The sequence below is a fragment of the Homo sapiens genome, chromosome 2, assembly GCF_000001405.40.
Source record: "Homo sapiens chromosome 2, GRCh38.p14 Primary Assembly".
Taxonomy (NCBI): Eukaryota; Metazoa; Chordata; class Mammalia; order Primates; family Hominidae; genus Homo; species Homo sapiens.
Window position 1 is genome coordinate 125,706,786 of NC_000002.12, and position 19,735 is coordinate 125,726,520.

General features: G+C 39.3%; 3 long non-coding RNA genes across 5 annotated transcripts in view; 1 reads left to right on the plus strand and 2 right to left on the minus strand.

The window, feature by feature from the left end:
• Nucleotides 1-7: 7 nt before the first annotated feature.
• LOC105373598 (uncharacterized) lies at nucleotides 8-19,086 on the minus strand. Its single transcript, XR_007088679.1, has 2 exons — nucleotides 19,000-19,086; nucleotides 8-392 (listed from the first exon to the last, which is right to left on the minus strand). It is a non-coding gene; the product is annotated as an uncharacterized LOC105373598 (long non-coding RNA).
• Nucleotides 4,165-19,735, plus strand: part of LINC01889 (long intergenic non-protein coding RNA 1889) — an 82,638-nt gene continuing 67,067 nt past the window's right edge. For both annotated transcript variants that reach the window (XR_923294.3, XR_923295.3), the window contains exon 1: nucleotides 4,165-4,585. This is a non-coding gene — a long non-coding RNA (long intergenic non-protein coding RNA 1889). The remainder of the gene's footprint in view (nucleotides 4,586-19,735) is intronic.
• The window catches only part of LOC124900611 (uncharacterized), an 85,494-nt gene continuing 84,836 nt past the window's right edge, over nucleotides 19,078-19,735 (minus strand). For both annotated transcript variants that reach the window (XR_923296.2, XR_923297.3), the window contains exon 3: nucleotides 19,078-19,156. This is a non-coding gene — a long non-coding RNA (uncharacterized LOC124900611). The remainder of the gene's footprint in view (nucleotides 19,157-19,735) is intronic.

Consider the following 19,735-nt stretch of genomic DNA (forward strand, 5'->3'; position numbering starts at 1 on the left):
ATCTAAATACTTGGAACAGAATAAATTTAATGCAGAAAATTGGTCATATGGTGATGGAAAACCAGAGAAAGCAAATAGGGTCTTAGCAATGACCCAAACAGGAAACTACTGCACCCCAAAATGGAGGAAGCAGAAGAGCAGACAGTGTTGTTGGAAACTGGGAGCAAGGGCCAGCTAGTGGAAGCTGGACTTCAACGTGATTGGAGCAAGCCCTGGGACATACTAGAGGACAGACGAGCTCTTCTCCAGATGACACAAGCTGAGGCAGAGAGGGAAGGAAACATGCTCCCATAAGATGGCCCTTCTCCAGACTTCAAATCATCCGTTAGTACCTACCGTTGGCTGAATCTCATGGCGAGCCAGTTGGCAAAGGATCTTGGGAAATGTAGTTTCTGTAATAGAGAACAGAAGAGCAGAAAGACAAGGAATTGAGCACAGGGAATGGGGCACAGAGAAGTCTGCAAATAACCCCTACAAAATCCCTTTTTGATGGTAATAGGGATGCTAATTCTAGATTCCTGCTCATCAGAAGCTGTAACTACACTTTATAGGCTGCACTCCATGTCTAAAGCAGTTATGGAATATCTGTAAAATATCTGTTTCTAATGCAATGGTATATAAATATGATATAAAATGCAATGATATATGTATTAATAAACCATGTTGAAGAATCTCTTCGATATCCCCTAATTAAAATGTAAAGTCCTAGGTTTTTTTAAACTTCTCTTTATTTTAAAGTGATCTTATTTAAGTCAACTGATAAGGAAAATTGAAAGCTCAGAACAATAGCAGAAAGAAAAAAAAATATTTTTCCCATCATCCCAGTATCTGTGGATAGCTACTATTAACATGTTGTTGTAGAGAAGATACTTAAAATTTTAAAATTAACATAATTTTAACTACTTGGATAAAATAACAAAATTAGCTTGATTTGGTAGCTGCAATTTTCCTAGGATGTGAATTAGAATTAAGCTGCCATATGGGAAAACAATTTTCTGTCCTGGACACTGGCCAATACCCCAACATGCTTATTTCAATATGAGAATGTGTTTTTGGTCCATTCAGTGTCAGAAACAGAGTAATTATAAATGTGTGAGGGAAAAGCCTTATTTCTTTTTTGAAAATACAGTGACTTAGCGAGTGATACAGTATGAATGAAAGTTTTGAAGTTGGTTCATGGTGTATAAAGAGAAACAAAGTAAACAAAGCTCTTAATGGAAATACATACTTGGGACCAAACAACAGCCTATCTAAATGTTTTTTTTTGGTATTCATTTGGAAATTAATCAGATAATAATCCTCATGTATATGAAGGTCTGATCCATTTTTAATATCTTTTTACAATTATTTTTATTTGCTAATTTTACATATTTGGGGTAATATTAAGTATAGTTTTGTATTTATATTAACGTGGTAGTAAATATTATATTCCTTTCTAAATTGGCAATATTGTTTTTTTAAATAACGTTTTCTCCCTTAGGTCTTTAGATTATAGACACTTAAAATGAATGGTTTCAGATCAATTTTGAGAATGGGCAACAGGACCAAATTTTTTTCTACTTGAAATGGAAAACAAAAAATCTTGCTGAAGGCTAAGCTATCTTTTTAGCTAAGTGAGAAAACATTTCACAGAGTATTTACTGAAAACAATAAGTCCCTAGTAGGCATGAGTCAATACATATCAAGTCAAAAGTAAACTATTACTTGGAAGTCAATGTACTTTACTGAACATATGGAGAATTTACATTGAAACAGGCACTGGCATTTCAAACCCAGACTTTCCCCCCCACTTTGGTGGTATAATGTACAGCAACTCAAGCAAAATCATGTGTCTAACTATATCACGCAGGAAAGTTGCATTTAGCCAACTTCCAAGAAAATACTTGGTTTTATTTACTCAAAAAACCTTCCTGGATGTTCAGTCCAACAGCACACTTCGGAGCATCCTGTCTTTCTCGCCTGAACTTGCAGTGGTCTTGGAGAGGATCACCGTTATGGGCACAGAGTTTGGAGCCACACACCTGGATACCACACTCCACTTTAACAGTGGCTAGTTCTGTAATCTTAGGGAAATTAGGTAACTTCTTTGAGCTCAGGTCTTTCTTCTTCTGCCTCTTGCCCCCGCACAGATAGTAACTACTCAAGGAACTTTACCTTACACTTTTTATTAACTAAATATTTTCAGATATGTCCACTTTATGAGAAGGAAATATCTGATAGCTGAGTGACAGAAGTCACTCTTACCTCACAAAGCTGGCTTCTCCTTGACACTTGGACCTGACTCTATGCACAGTCATCCTTAACCTACAGTCTTGCTGGAAGGTATCTGAACTTGGATGTATTTCCTGGCTGTTTTCTGAACAGAGGCTGTACAAGAGGGCTGTTACACAGCAATGACAGAAAAGAAGCTTCCTGAGAGACCAATAGACCTGATTGGCCAGTCAGGAACTTGACATCACCAGAGCTAATATTGATTACATTTCAATCTTATATCTCGTTTTAAGATTGAATATAACCCATTTTTATTTTACGAATGAGAGGGTTTTTTTTTACTTTTGTTATTTGGAAATGGAAAGGGAGACAAATCACATTCCCCAGGCAAGATGATATTCTGTATTACCCCAGAGTTGGGATCCATTTCCAAGGATCGTTAGTCGGCTAAGCAGCCTTGATGCCCCAGGATGGGGACTTTCACACAAGACAGGTGGTGAAGCCAGGGCACCATGCTGCTAGCTCATGCACCGTACCCTTCAAGGGGCCAGCAGAAAAAGAGAAAGAGAGTATCAGTGAGTGATGCAGGATGTGTTGCATTCTTCAAGAAAAGGACCAAGAAGAGTTCTTTATACTACTTTAGAGTTCTTTATACTATGTCATTCTTAGATAATTTCTTTTCATCTTTTGTTAGTCAACAATTGTATTTGGAAGACAGGATCATAGGAAAAAATCTAGATATGCTAAATCATAGGCTGCAATAATCTCCTCAACCACTTGTCTTGTTTAATCTGGAACTTCAACTGACTTGTCTTAAAAAGTCATCAAAGAAAATCTTTCTTAGTCACAATTACCTTCTTCTCTAACATGAGTGACCTGAAATTAATCAGTGGCATAGACTGTGAGAAGAACCAGTGGCATAGACAATGGAAGCACAGGAGGGGGACTGCTTACTTAAGGTGGTGGGGATCAAGAATGATTTCATGAAAGTTCTTGGCCTGGTTTGTAGCAGAGTACATGGAGTCTCTAAAGGCAGAGATGGAAGAGAGTAATACCATAGTAACCAACATCAAGGGTGTGGCCTGGTGGCTTGGTGGGAATGGTAGATAATACCATGTCACTGAGTTAAGATGAAGAAAACAATAGTTCATAAAACTGAAGAAACATTTTTGACAGAAAAAAAAGCCTAAAAGGCTCTGATGATGCATTAGAATTTACTATCAAATGGTAGACCTTGGATTTCTTGTTTTTGTGTGTTTGATTTGAAATTGTGTGCCTGTGTGTGTGTGCATGTGTATACATGGCATAAATTCTATAATCTGAATTATTTGAGGAAGACAACCTTGGCAATAGTGTAAGTAACTGTCTGAAGAAGGAGAAAAAAAGAGACAGATATTGATTATGAGGCTGTTAAAATATTTTTGGCTACTGTTGCCTCAAATGTATTTGAACGAACTCTAATTCCATAGAATGTTACTAAATGTTGCATAGGGGAAAACAGAAGTGTCTGTAGTCATAGGGTTTTAGTCAGTTCAGAGCTAAGTAAAGCAAAACAGATTTTTATCACTGCAAGATATTTAATCAGCTAATATTTGTCAGGCCTCTGAGCCGAAGCTCAGCCATTGTAACCCCTGCGACCTGCACATATACATCCCGATGGCCTGCAGGAGCCAAGAAGTCGGGAGCAGCTGAAAAACCACAAAAGAAGTGAAACAACCGGTTTCTGCCTTAACTGATTAACCCACCTTACAACATTCCACCACTAGGACTTGTCCCTGCCCTACCCTAACTGATCAATCCATCCAATCAATTCTCCTGGACAATGAGTCTCATGATCTCTCCACCATGCACCTTGTGACCCCCTCCCGTGCTGACAACAGATAACCACCTTTAACTCTAACTTTCCACTGCCTACCCCAGTCCTATAAAGCTGCCCCTCTCTTATCTCCCTTCACTGACTGTCTTTTTGGACTCAGCCCACTTGCATCCGAGTGAATAAACAGCCTTGCTGCTTACACAAAGCCTGTTTAGGTGGTCTTCTATATGGACACGCATGACAATATTTACAACAAATACCAAGGAAGAGCTAAGAGCACATAGCATTTCCCAGGCTTATTAGACTGTGGGATCAACCTCTTTAAGAAAGCATTTTGCAGAATTGTTGTTCACAGGTCATTCTGCAGTGTGAAGTTTTTTTTGCAATAAGATCCTTACTCTAGAGTTAACTTCACTAGGAAGTACACTCTGGGTGTTTACCTTTAGAGCTTCAGTTTCTACAAGAATTTGGCACCGGTTGGGTCTTGTAGAAATATTTACTGCATGGAGTTGAAAGAAGAGTCTGGACTGGGAGAAGGATGTATGGATAAAGAACAAGGTAGGAAACTTGTACTTGCCTGCTTCTTCTTACTGCTTTATTCTTGGATAATTTCTTTTCAGCTTTGGTTATTCAGCAATTCATATTTGGAAGATAGGATCATAGGAATGAATCTAGACATGCTAAATTATAGGCTGCAATAATCTTCTCAATCACTGTCTTGTTTAATCTGGAACTTCAACTGACTTGTCTTAAGTCATGAAACAAAATCTTTCTTAGTTAAGATTTCCTTCTCCAACATGAGTGAACTGAAATTAATCAATGGCATAGATAATGAGAGGCAAGTAGTGTGGCAAGGAAAGACAACTTAATTTACAGAAAAAGTGTGGTTTTATAGTTAGAAAAGTTTCATTTGAATGCTAGATTTCCTGCTTACTAGTTGTGTGACAAAATGAATTAGATGTTTGTGCCCATCATGGTTCCAAAACAGTTTATGATGTTTTAGGAAAATAAAAACTCATATATATTGCTTGTGAGAAGAATATGCCCAATTTGTGGCAGTGAATAAGAAGCAGAGACACAAAGTGCTTTTGGGGGAACAGTGATTCTCTGTGGCTGGAGCACAGATTTTGAAGGGAGAGTGTAGAAAGAGGTAAGAATGTAAAAATGCACAGATGATTGAGTCTGGAGATATTTTAACAAGATTGTGGAGGGAATCCAAGCCAGGTTCAGGCATGTGTACCTACTGCTGTAGACAAGGCATAGCTATTAAGGGAGTCTGAACAGGAGAACAATATGCGAATGATTTTCTTTAGAAAACACAATCTGATAATGCTTGTATGTTTGTGTCAATTTGATTGGATTATCAGGATATGCTTCCCAGCTTCAAATAGGAATTGTAGCCTCAAGTTCAGGAGCTTTTCTTCCTTTTGAATTTGTCATGTTTTGCAATACATAATAGAAGCTAACTATAATCCACATTTGTTTAGAGCAGGCACTTTGGCACCAGGACACCAGCTCTGTCCCTGACAAGTTCTGTGGTCTAAGTTACTTCAGCTCAGCAGTTTTCTCATCTGTGAAATGGGAATGTTAATGGAACTCTCCTTATAAGGGAAGACTAAATTAACTAACAGATGCTACCGTAGTGCCTAGCACATAGTAAATGTGCAAAAGTTGTTGGCTCCTATTTGTACTACTATTTTTGCAATCCTGGAATTTTTCCAGTCAATCACTCACATTTTTACAAGCTTTCCTCTCATGGAGATTTATCTTCCAGATAATCCTTTGGATTTGAAATTCATCTCTACCACCTCGCTCTCACAGTCAGTGTTTTGAAAAAAAAAAAAACATTCCCAGAAATTTCATAATTCCTAAGCTTTAAAAAATGTTTACATGTAACTTAAATATTTTTGTAGTTTTTAAATCTCCTTTTTCTCAATACACCTTTCTTTGCCTAGGCGCATGCATTTTACAAAATTCCCTCCACTTCTCTCTCAGGACTTCAGGAATCTTCTGATTTAGGAAATTAACTCATCAGTAATTCTCCTGACCATGGTGAGGAAACACAAATATTACGCAGCCAGTCTTTATTTTCTGACCCTAAACCAAAGAGCTGTGATTTGACAATTTTCCTTGGTCTGAGGCACAGTATTTGCCACAGTCCTCTTCTTATTGTTCACGTTGCCGTTTATGATGACTATCATCAGAAAACCACGTCAGGTCACTTTGTGGAGACATTGCTTCTGCTGTTCCCCTCCTGTTCCACCTCCACCTTTCTCACCAAATTCCCTGGGTTGTAAAGCCCCAGATTGGGTGGTCCAGAATTACAGTCAAAGGTAAGAGAAGGAGGCTGTGGGTCACTGGTCTGCAGAGCTGTAAGACTTTCTGTACACCTGGAAGTGCCCAGACAAGCTGTAGTGGGAATTCTTTTGAAAAGAAATGCACTCAAAGTTAATGAGATAAGGTATTTTCCTGCCTTCATGAACACACTTCCCACTTTTCCTGAAAAGTCCTTAGGAATATGTTATTCTTGTGTTTGAGAGTTGTACTTTGTATAACAAACCTTTCCTTCTTATACTCATCTACAAGGGCCAATTCTCATCATTTCCTGTTTGGACTGTTGAGACCCATCCTCACTCACAATCTGGCCTCCACATCTCTTCTCTTCCTCTCCAATTCTTTATTTGTCATTCTGAAATTTCAAATACAGTGTGATCATATTGCTTTCCTATTCAAAATCATTTACAGTTTTTCCACTAAAAAATGGTAAAATCCAAGCTGCCTGTGTGACACTGGAGATTCTGCATGCTTTGGCTTTTTCCTACCTTGCAGATTCATAGCTGCCTCACCTCCCTTACACTTGGTCTGGAAACACTGGGGAGCTTTTATTTTTCCTTAAACCCCGCCCCCATCTGAAGCCTCGCCTAATTGTTAAGCCTTCAAATGTGTTGCAATCTCTGCTTTTCCCTTCGCTTTCATATTGTCTGGGTACGCTTGGGATATAGCTGTGGTTCCTAGGCTAGCTACTGGCCCTCCCTATGGCTCCAGAGCTCCTGTGCTCACACCTGTGCGAGCACTGGTTATTGTACGATTTAATTGCCTGTTCATGCACCAGTCTCCTCTCTTGGGCTCCAACGGCAGAGGTTGCACAAGTAGAGTGGATGTTCACCCTGCATCACATGGCATTGAGGACCTCCCAGTCTTCTCTTGCTTCCTGCCAGGCCTACAAATGTGTCACAGATTCTCAGTCACAGCAGCCTGCTCTGTGTCGCTGTACCTCTGTACCTCTCCCTGACATGTGAACATCAATGCACAGGTCAAGATGTGTCACCAGGGTAGGTTTCCTAAGGGTTTTCATATAGATTCCAGTAAAAAGGGCTTCCTTTTCTATTCAGCACATCTTTCTTGCCTATGTGATGTCTACAATTGTATCTCTAGCATATTATTGCTATCAATTGTTTGTGAGTATATGTCCTACTTCTAGACTTAAATTGTCTTAAAAGACAGAAATATTCTTGATTTTGCTTTGTATCTTCTGAGCCTGGCAAAGTGCTAATTAAAGTAGATGCTCATTATGAATGCTGTGTTAAATGAAGAAATGCACAATGTAATATTATCTGTTCTGCCTGGGGAGTAATTTTGTTTTTTATTCCATTGATTTGGCCATATTCTTGATCAATGGTTCTCAAACTAACTGAACATTAGAAACAGTTGGAGACTATTTTGTAAACATCCTCAACCGGTGTTATTCAAATGTTAATGTGTGTAGGAATCACCAAAGATTCTTGGACTCTGATTCAATAGGTTTAGAATAGGGCCTGAGATCTTATGTTTCTAACAAGCTCCCAGGAGATTTGGATGCTGCTGAGCCAGAATCACAGTAAGTAGAGGGTCCTGGTTCTTTGCATCAGAATCTCTGGGGATCTGATCTGGGAATACTCCTAAGTATTCCTGAGAATTTCCCAAGTGTCTGTGATAAAGCAAGATTGTCATCTACATTAGGAGTTGCTGTGAGTGTCCTATCACCTATCTCTTACATACTTTACAATATTATTGAGCAACTTGCCAGAAATCATGCTAGAGGCTTTGGCTATATGGATGAAGATAAGACTGTTCTTAACCTTATAGAACTCACAGTCTAATGAGAGAAACAGAATATATAAAATGAATCCCTATACATTGAGGTAAATGTAAGAAAAAATAATCAAGGCACTGATATTGGCAATAAAGATGAAAGAAAACATCTATATTTAAACTAAGATTTGAATGCTACATTTCCACTCCTCATGGGATTAGAGGGGCAGTGATGTTTTAAACAAAGTTAGAGACATATAAAATCCCTGAGTTGGGAAAAAATGTGGTGAATTTTAGGATCTCTCCAAAGACTCTTGTGTCTGGTACAGAAAGTAAAAGTGGGAGAGTGTCATGTAGTAAGGAGGGCAGGGTCCAAGCACACACATGCTGGTGGCCTAACCTAGCAGAGCATGTGGGCACAACAAGAGAAACTTTCTCTAATCAACATCTAGCATGCTGTGGAGCTTGACCCGGTCTGTCTTGGTTCCTTTGAGACAAGACCCATCTCAAGCTAGATGCCCATCAATGGCAGTTGGGATAAAGAGAATGTGGTACATATACACCATGGAATATTATGCAGCCGTAAAAAGAATGAAATCATGTCCCTTGCAATGATACGGAAGGATTGGAGGCCATAACCCTAAGCAAATTAACATGAGAACAGAAAAGCAAAGACCAAATGTTCTCACTTATAAGTGGAAACTAAACTTTGAGCACATATGGACATCAACATTGGAACAATGGACACTGTGAACTACTAGAGGGGAGAGGGAAGAAGAGGGTCATGACTTGAAAAACTACCTATTGGGTACTGTACTTACTACTTGGGTGCAACATATCCATGTAACAAACCTGCACATATACCCCCATGTCTAAAACAAAAGTGGAAATTTTAAAAATTTACCCCACATCTAAAATAAAAGTAGAAATTTAAAAGAATAGCAGTGATAATCCTTCAACTTATCTACAAGCATTTATATTTCTGAATTTCTGGAAATATTATTTATGCATAACAAGGACAAGATGGACAATAAAAGCTTTCACTTTCACTTTTCAATGACTTAATTTTTGTTTTTCATTTCTCTAAACCAGCAATCAAAAAATATTCCCATCAATTTATATCTGGGGCTAGTGTGTTGAAGAATAAATACCATCTAACTATTCCTACCCTTCCTTTCTACTACAAAAGGGAAGCATGGAATGTCCTATCTTTGATCAGGCAAATAGAGGTCATTTCAAACGTACCTGAGCCTCCATCATATGGCAAGATCTAGGTCTCTTGAGATAACATTAAAACAATGAAGTGAACCAGGATACATGCATCTTCTTTTTTTTTTTTGTGATGGAGTTTCGCTGTTGTCGCCCAGGCTGGAGTGCAATGGCACGATCTCGGCTCACCACAACCTCTGCCTCCCAGGTTCAAGTGATTCTCTTGCCTCAACCTCCCAAGTAGCTGGGACTAAAGGCATGCGCCACCACACCCAGCTAATTTTTTGTATTTTTAGTAGAGATGGGGTTTCATCATCTTGGCCAGGCTGATCTTGAACTCCTGACCTCATGATCCACCCACCTCGGCCTCCCAAAGTGCTGGGATTACATGAGTGAGCCACTGCACCCGGCCTTTTGATACATGCATCTTCTACCAGCGTATCTCTTGCCCTATTTTATAAGTTGTGGGGAGGGCAATGCCTAGCCCAAAGAAGTTTTTAATTTGGTTTTAAAAATGAAAGAATTCATGAAAACTTATATATATATAAATATATATGTATATATATGTGTGTATATATACATATATGTGTATATATATAATTTACATGTATATGTGCATATAGGTGCATGTGTATATATCATACACACATGTATAAATTATGTAAAAAATGACAAATAATTTTTTTATGAAAATAGACTTTTTAGTGAAAAGCTTAGAAATTCAGTATTCTAAGAATGCATTGGTTCTATGTTTATCCCTAGTATTCTTTTTCTCTTTGTTTCTTTCCTCTAGACCCAGAATCCGTAGCCAGCATGATGAGTTCAGAGACCTGGCCCCTACCCTGGGAGTAGCACATTCAGTCAGAGAGGTTTAGGTGGATTCATCCAAATACTTTAATCCCAGAGCTCTGTCCTACAAAAACCAACAGGCTTGCTCAACTGTAGCAGTCAACAAGAATTCATGGTGCTTGGTTGGACTGCATACATATTATCTTTTTCCTTTAGAAAGCTGTGAATTCCTTGGCTGTTTTATTTTTGAAATAAATGTGTCAATTCCATTTTTCTGCCATTTCTGCTACTTCTTTTCTCTATAGAAACCTGGATTTGTTACTGAGCTTTAGGTATAAAACAGGTTTATTAAGCTTAATTGTTTTACTATTACCATAGTAACCATTGTATTTCCGTCACAGTAACTCTGAACTGTAAGCCAGTAAGCCATTGGTCCTGATGGTAAAGATAGAAACCCACCTCCCTGCACCTCAGATTCTACACCTCAGAGAATTTCCAGGCTCTAATTCCTTCAATTATGCCCCTTCTTTCTAGCATTTTAAGTGCCCCTCTCTGATTTTTTTTCAAACTCACACCATGGTGGTCTTGATTCAACAATGAAGTCACAGTAGGCATTGCAGTGGTTATTTTATGAATCCACACAATTTACAGATTGCTCCTGATAAAGCTCTAAAGAGTTTTCACAATGTGTTTATTCTGAAAACTACTCTCTACATAGCCCAGTATTTTTCCAATACAAATAAATTTTAACCAACATTACAACAACAAAAAATTTTGATGTGCATTGAAATAGCTAGTCAAATTGGCCTCACAGTAGCAATAAAATAATCTGAGATAATAGTTTTGTTTGATTTTTTATTTCATGCATAATTTATTTACGAGTAAGCAACATATATTTTACATTGTTCCTCATGTCATTGTATGTTTTAATACTGTGAAGTTTACTCTGAACTCTTTGGATCCCAATCTTAAATCTAATCAAATCAAAATAAATATATAGAACAGCTCAATATATGACACATAGTAGGCACTTAATAAATAGTACCTATTTTATTAACATGATTATTTCCTTTTTAATATTATTATGTGAATATATTCTAGATAGAAACTTTTAGAATCTTATTACCAATTATATGTGTTAAGTCAAGTTTAGCCTAAAGATGCCTCCTTCCATATTTTAAGTTCAACCTAAAAGTTTCTCTGTACATTGTGAACTATAACCTACACAGAGGTGTAAACAGACTGTAGTCTACTCTTGTGCCAATCAATCACTGAGCTTTGGTTCATCAAAGGTGGTCAATGTTCAAATCATGTTCAAATAAGGCAAATGCCGAGCTGTAAACAATATGGCTGTTTCTGTACCTCACATCCACTTTCTGTATCACTTTCCTTTTTCTGTCCATAAATCTTCTTCCCCCATGTAGCTACACTGGAGTCTCAGTGAGCCTGCTCTGGCTTGGGAGATTGCCCAATTCATGAATTGTTCTTTGCTAAATTAAACTTTGTTAAATTTAATTTGACTAAGCGTTTTTTGTTTTGTTTTGTTTTTTCCTCATGGTAAGGGCATAGAAATGCAGAGGGCAAACCCAATAAAGAGAGGAATCAGATATGGGAGAAAATAGTTTTAGATACAATGAAAAATTGAAATAATAGTTAACTCTTAACACTTGAAGTTCTCATAGTATGACGGTAGGTAAGAAACCATGGAGAGGAATTGTTCTGAGGGATTTCTCATCGTCATTCATGTAGCCGTTGAATTTGTAAAAATGTATTCTATTTTCAGATGCTAAAACTAAGGATCAGAGCTATCAGGGAAATAAGGCAGCCAGTGAAAAACTGAACTAAGTCTGAAACAGATTTGTCTTATGCCCAAGTCCAAAGCATAACTTAGCCCTGGAGCAACAGAGTGAGTTATCTGTGCAAGCACCTCACCATGTCAACTCTGGGGGCAACTCTGTCAGTCTCTCCTGCAAATTGGGGCATGAGGAAGAGTCTGTTTAATCTGCAATAGTATCCAAGAGGCAATGATTGGGTACAAATCATCAATAGTGACAATTCCTCTCTAAGGTAGGTTTCTAGTTGGATACAACAGCAATCAGTATCAGCTGAACAATGATCATTTACACTGAATAGTGAAACAGTACCACTGGAAAAATCATCAGGTTTATAGACCAGCAAGCTGAGTGCGTAAAATGTTACTGTAATGATCCATGCCAAAGTCTCTCTATAATCCATGCCAAAGTCTCTCTTCTGTCAGTTATCTGTTTGTCTATATCACTCTACAACATATTATGCCCTGTGGGACAATGGCTTTGTGTTCAGATGACACATGCTCAGCCAAACAGTGTTAAATACGTTTCTCAACACTGAAATTCTCTGGCATCCTTAATAGCTATATATCCACAATGTGAAGCAATTTTCTAAATTTTGTGAGAAGAACACCTGTGAAATATTGTTAGAGGATGTGTATTCATTGCTCAGAAACAGAAATCCTCCTTCAATATTTGACCTAAGTGATTTAATATTTAAATCTTTCATTTATGTTACAATTGTATTTTGTTTAGATTCTTTCTTTGAGTATATTCTAGTAACAAGTTTTGAACTTATCCTGGAGGAGTTACCCTGGATCACTTCATATTATTTCAAGTCAAAAGGGAAAGACAAATGTAGCCAAGATAACTGAGACGATCAAAACTGCAAATTCAAGAGGCATTTACTTGAAGTTAAGAGTTGAGAACATAGGGCCAGGCGCGGTGGCTCACACCTGTAATCCCAGCACTTTGGGAGGCCAAGGTGGGCAGATCATGAGGTCAGGAGATTGAGACCATCCTGGCTAACACGGTGAAACATGCTTTCTACTAAAAATAAAAAAAATTAGCCGGGTGCAGTGGCGGGCGCCTGTAGTCCCAGCTACTTGGGAGGCTGAGGCAGGAGAATGGCGTGAACCTGGGAGGCGGAGCTTGCAGTGAGCCGAGATCGCGCCACTGCACTCCAGTCTGAGGGACACAGCGAGACTGTCTCAAAAAAAAAAAAAAAAAAAAAGAGTTGAGAACATAGAGGTCAAATAAGCACCCAAGCTATAGTCACAGGAGGTAGAAAAACGATCACCAAACCTTTTTGATTGCATGTTCTATAAGAAAAACAAGTACATTCACCTCCAACATACAGGTACTTCTGTTCAGATATATTATGTATGCAATTAAATAAATTAACAAGGTTTAAAGTTGAGCTAAAGATAAAATAAACAATGTATATTTTAATAACTTGCCATTCATTTTTGCTTTCTGTTATCATTAGCTAGTAACTTAAGGGCACAATATACTCAAGGCGATGTTTATTCTTCATAATAATGATAGAAAAAATATATTTTAGTCTTCCAGGTAATTTTAATACTTAGTGGACAAGTGACAATGATGAGAGTATATCAGAAAAGGGAGAGATATCATCATTGCTATTGTCTTATAATTTACTTGTGTTTACATTTAGCACAAGTAAATGTTAAGTACACTTACATTATTGTTTTTAATCGACAGTCTCATAGCAGCAATCTGGTTTGTGAAGATTTGTGTACATCAGATACAGTAATATGTTCTGCAAATCCAAATGACAGGACACAAGCCTCTGATCATGATGGAGGCAGGAGGCAGAGATAGAGGCTCTAGGCAGAGAGAGACAGGTTCCTGGTGAAACCCCACCTTTAAGCCAAAAAGCCTAAAACCTGGGGCCCAAAGTGAGAACTTCTATTCCCGTTTGCCCACTCTCTCCAGATTGGTTCTTTGTGAATAATACCTTTTCACCAATCAAATGTTGCCTTTTCCAGAACTACCTATGGGCTGCCCCATCCCCACCATCCTGTGCCTATAAAGACCCCATACTCAGTTGGTAGAGGGGAGAGATGGCTTATGTTCAGAGAGAAGATGGCCAGGCTTTGGGGAAGAAGAGACAGCTTGACTTCGGGGAAGAGACAGCCAGACTTTAGGGAGAATTATCTGCCCTTCCTGTCCCCTCTCCAGCTCCCCTTACACGGACAGCCATTCCCACCACTCGATAAAATTATTTGCCTTCACCATCCTTCAAGTGCCCCCACAAAAGCATTTTTCTTGTACACTGGACAAGTGCTCAGGATCCACCAAGTGTGGGTACCCAAAACAAGGCCGTCACACCAGCCCTTTGCCCTTGCTGGTGGAGGGCAGCTGCCCCATGCAATGAGGCAAGGGGCTAACTGAGCTGTTAACACACAGCTGTCCACAGGCAGTGGAACTAAAGGAGCATTGTAACACTCGCTCTGGGTCCTTGGGGCAGGTTGCAGGCATTCGCTGCCCTGACCTGGGCGCTGCCGCCAGAGCTTGCTCCTGCTGGCACCTGGAGTGGCTGGCCAAGTCTCACACTCGCTCATTTGTCACTGGTCTGGTCACGGGCCCCGCAGAGAACTTGCTCCTGTGTGAGTTCCCCGAGTGGCCAGCCGGGTTCTGCACTCACTCGCTCAAGTGCTCCCTCCCGCAAGGGGTTGAGCATGGCAGGCAAAGTAAAAGTTTGCCCCCATCTCAAGTCCCATGAACAGCCTGAGAAAAATCCTGCATCAGTCAGGAAGGGCGAGGAGGGAACTCTGGTGAAGCTGTCTGTGCCCTGGACTGACTTCCTGCTGGGCACGCCTCACCCATCCTGTGTCACCTGGCACTGATAGGCAGGAGAACCTGCCAGAGTGCCGTTGTCAGCCCATGCTAACCCACTTAAGATTATTTTCTGCTCTATAAGTTGACTTAAACTATAAAGTGCTGTTCAAGTATTTTGTTCCAGGACATCAATAAATAATCTTAAATTCTTCCTGGGACTCTGTGGCAGGCTGATAATGGCTCTCAAAGATGGGTCTATATCGTTATCTCAGCAATGTGTATTACCTTATTTGGAAAAAGGACGTTTGAGGTATAATTAAGTTAAGGATCTTGAGATGAGACTATCCTTAATTCTCTGGGTGAGCCCTAAATTCCATCCCTTGTGTCCTTCTAAGAGAGAAGCTGAGAGAGATTAGGCACATACACAGAGGAGGAGGCAACTTGGCCTGAAAGGCAGAGACTGCAGTGACATGGCCAAAAGCCAGGTGATGCTGGCAGACACCTGAAACAGAGAGGCAAGGGCCATATTCTTCCCCGGGGCCCCAGAGGGAGCACAGGGAGTCCTGCTGACAGCTCGATTTCAGGACTCCAGCCTCCAGCACTGTAAGATAATAAGTATCTGTTGTTTTAAACCTCAAAACTAAGTTTGAGGTAATTTGTTATGGCCGCCACAATTAAACTCACACTGGCATCAAGTGTAAATTTAGAGTCCCTGATATAGAAATCAGTAAACATATATGTAAATAAATAAGTTAATATGGGAAGGGAGGGGTCTAATTTAGCAACTTTTAAGTGGGCAATCAGCGGGGATGACTTTATGGAGGACCTGGCAAGATGGGACCTGAAAGGCCCAAGTAATAATAAGCATCTGTGCCCTTGGGTGAAGACGCAAATGCAACGAATATGTGTCTAAGATCATATCAAAAATGTTCACGTTTTCATCATCTTATTTTCTTCTGACAACAAACATCCTAAGATTGATATACATTCCCCTCCTTATGGGGAAGAAGTGCAGGCTCAAAGATACTAAATAACATGTTCAAGATCAAACACCTTGTAGGTGCAGGCTTGGAGTTGTGGCCTGGGTCTCCTGATTCCAGGTCCAGTGTTCAAATGACATAACATCAACAGCCCTTGGCCTCCTCTTCTGAAAGAGAAGCAGTATGAATTTCAGGTCTCCCCAGGCCCATTGCAAATTCATTTTATGGTTCTAAAATGAGTGCATAAATTTGTGGTAAATGCAAGTAGGAAAATGTGCTTCTATCCTGCATGGCAGAGTCCCTGGCACATGCAGAAACTGAGTGCAATTGGCATTAATTCTTATAAGTCCCTATACTGAAATGAATTAAACATGTGACACTGCTCTCTCCTCCATGCAGGAAAATGTTAGCACAATCCCTTAGAGTACATAAACAAGGATCCCTCAGGTTTTTAGTGTAATATATAAAACCAGAAATGGCCTTGAACATTCTCAGAAGCCAAAATCCTTTCTCCAAATCCTAAATATTCTTCACAATGTTTTCATCTTCGATGCTCTTTTCCAGGGACAAATTCCTGTTATCCTATTAGCTAATTAGCATTCAGTGTGTTTCTTAAAGCGCTCAAAGAAACATTCAACTTTCATTCATTTATGACATCAGATAAAGTCATCAGAAAATGCAATCCATTCTTTCATTGTTCTAAAAGACATGCTAGGCTGCATTTCACTGAGAGAAATAGGTGTAGCAAAGCCATAACCTGCTAGTAATATCAATGACACCAGAGGGTAAGCTCTTAAATTTTTTCCAGAACTCATCATGCATTGGTGACCAAAGATTTTGAAAATGCGTTTCAAAGGTAAAAATAGGTCTTCTTCCCTCAAAACCAGGATTTTAGAATTGAAATTCCATCTGTAAATTGGTCCATCCTATCCTAACCCTGCACCTTCCACAGGCGATAGGAATGTGGCCCCAACACACAAAGGCATGTGCCCTGATAATTCCTGTCCTAAGTCCTTTCTGCTTGGCCTGCTCTCTTCCTACATTTGCTCCCATCTGGCCTTGAGTCTGGTTGTCTCTCCTAGCTAAAGGCTGAGGGGCATGTCTTCATAGTTGGTGCCGGTGCCCAGTTTCTGTCTCTAGTGTTACTTGCTTCTCTCCAGGGACCTTGGCACAAAATCACATCACCACTGGGTCTTGCCTCAGACCAGCCTACTGTCCCAAGGAATCTGATTTCTTGCTCCAAGTCACTGGTGGGGACTCTTGTCTGGTGACCTGACCACTCTGTTTGCAGACGTTTGTAGTCCTAGCCAAATTGAAGTTCTTAAGGGACTCCCAAGCTCAAAGCTTCTTAAAACACAGTCTGCCGTTTCTAGTCTATATAATATACTAAACTATAGCACCTCTCATGCCCCAGAGAATATACAATCTAGAAGGAGAGACAGATATGTAAACATATAAATTTGGTGCCAGTTATAAATACAGTAATAAGAAACACAGGCATAGAAGTTGTAGGAAGAAGGGAATGATCAACTACAGTTAAAGAGCAGAACCATCTTTGCTGAAGAAATTAAAATCGACTTAGTCTTTAAGCAATGATTAGGATGTTCCCAGAGAGACGAAGAAGAGAAACTTATTTACCTAATTTCAAGAAAAAACAGAGTTACAGGGCCAGAATGTGAAACTGGCTGATTGGGCAATTATAAAGCTTCAGGAATTGCTAGACCAGCAAACAAGGTCATCAAAGACTGACAGCATCAGCCTGGAGGGCCTCCTGAGCTAGGATCAGAGGTTTCTTATGAAGGCTCTCAGTAGAACTCATATCAAGTATAAAGCCATTACAATGACTTTGTGAAAATGTTTCCAAGCTGCAGTTTTCAATCAAAAATTTTTTTAAAGCTTCCCTGTTTCTGAGAACTTGCATAAATGGGCAGACAAAAAGTGTAGCCCTGTTTCACAGGCTAGGTAGGGATGGCAGGCAGAGCTGTGTTAGCTTTTGGCCTCCTCTTTGCTCCCTGGTAACTCCTGGCTGCAGAATCCTACAAAACTGTAATTAACAAATGGAATTCCCATTGACTGTGCAGGTTCTTTGTTGAAAGTGTGATAACTCGATGTCTGATATTTAGAGGTTAGAGACTGGCCACTGTCTGTCTTTTTGACTGTCCTCATATGTGTTGACAGCATTGTCCAAATCTAGTGTCTGGCTCATGGTAAGCCCTAACTATGTGCTTTTTAACATTCACGTGAAAGATAAATATCATCACAGGTGCAATGCAATCAATGCAACATATGAATTTCAAAATTATGAGACCACAACAGAGGGAAACTATTTTACTGGAAAATGCATGTTCTTTGGTGTCAGCTACACCTAGATGCAAACTCCAATTCTGCCTCTAACTGGGTGTGGGACTGTGAGAAGTGTGTTCAACCTTTTTAAGTTATCATGTCTTCAAATGTAAAATTGGAATAGACACCAACATACAGATTTTTACCAATTGAGATAAAATTTAGTAACAAATATAAAGGTCAACATAGTCCAGTGATGCAGAGCACAGAGACTTGAGATATATTACCAAGGTTCAAATGCCAGCACTGCCACTTCCTACCTGCACCTCATGTCCTTCATCTTAAAATTGGGATGATGATGGCATCTACCTTGCAGAGATTGTGTGTGAGGGTACAGTGAGTCAATATGTGTGCATCTCTGTTATAGCTGGGTCATAGTAATTGCTCTGTCAATTGTAGCCATTAATATTGGAAGGTACCTGGAATGTAAGAAATGTCAATAAAATATAGTTGGATGATGATAGAGCTTGAAGAGCTTGAGCAGGTACTTATGGGGCCTGAAGTGTCCTAGAAGTGTCCTCAAATCTTAGAATTCATAGGTTTGCACAAGACTGAATGGGATAGCCATAGAAGAGTGAAGCTGAACTGAATTCCTGGTCGACTGACAAGCAAGAGCAACTGAAACACCAAGTGTGCACTATGGGCAGAAACTGCAGTGAAAAAGCCTGCTATGGAGGCCACATAAAATGATGAGAAGAGCTTTAGGATGAGTTTCCTAAAGAGACTCTCTGAGGCAACAGAGACGAAGAGCCCCAGACTGGGGGTAAATCTGTTTTAAAATAGAGTATCATCTCAGTAGAAAGATGATTTGAATCAACTACCAAATTTCTCACTATGGACATTAGTTACTTTTTAAAAAATATATTATCTTTTACAAATATGGCACTAGTAGTAATTTCATCAATACTAAACTAGATAATGTAGATATCAAGTCCTGTAGGCAATAAGAATATTTATTTTTCCTTACCATGTATTCAACTTTACCGGGCTTTGCCATCAGAAAGTGATGTTGACAAGACTTCGCTGGTGTTCTTTGTTATAACAATTTACTTCTTTCCTTCAGAGGAGAGTTGGAGGTGTACCACATGAAGCATGAACTCCTCTTCCCTTCCTAGATTGTCAACCTATGCAATACGGATATATAAATAAAAAGCTGCAGTGAGTCATTTTCCCCAAGGCTTGAAAAATAAGATTGCTTTTATCAGAAATATATATTCTGTTTGGGAAATTTTTACTCTATATTCTGTGCAGAAGCATGAGAGAACGATCATACAACCAAGCAGCCCTCAACAGGTACTCTACACATACATTTTTATTACTTACTAGATCCACCTCTGGATGGTCCAATGTCAAATGATAGGCTTTATTCCATTCTAATCAGAGAGTAGAGCACATTTTCATAGATCAATGTACACTGGCATCTTTATTCAAGTAAATCTCTGCCTGCTGTTGGCTGCATCTCTTGCAGAGGATTCTACCTAATATGACAGGTTTCTTAGACTAAGAATGAGATACTGTCCCAACACCTTGTTGCATTCCATCACTCTATGGTCCTAGAAAATAGAGGTTAATGAAGCAAATTCTTTTTTTTTTTTTTTTGAGACAGAGGGAACCACGCTCTTCTCTTTTCAGCACTTCTGTATAACTTCCACATTGTAGTCAGATCTGTGTGATTTTATTTTTTCTCCACTCTATGAAAGCTT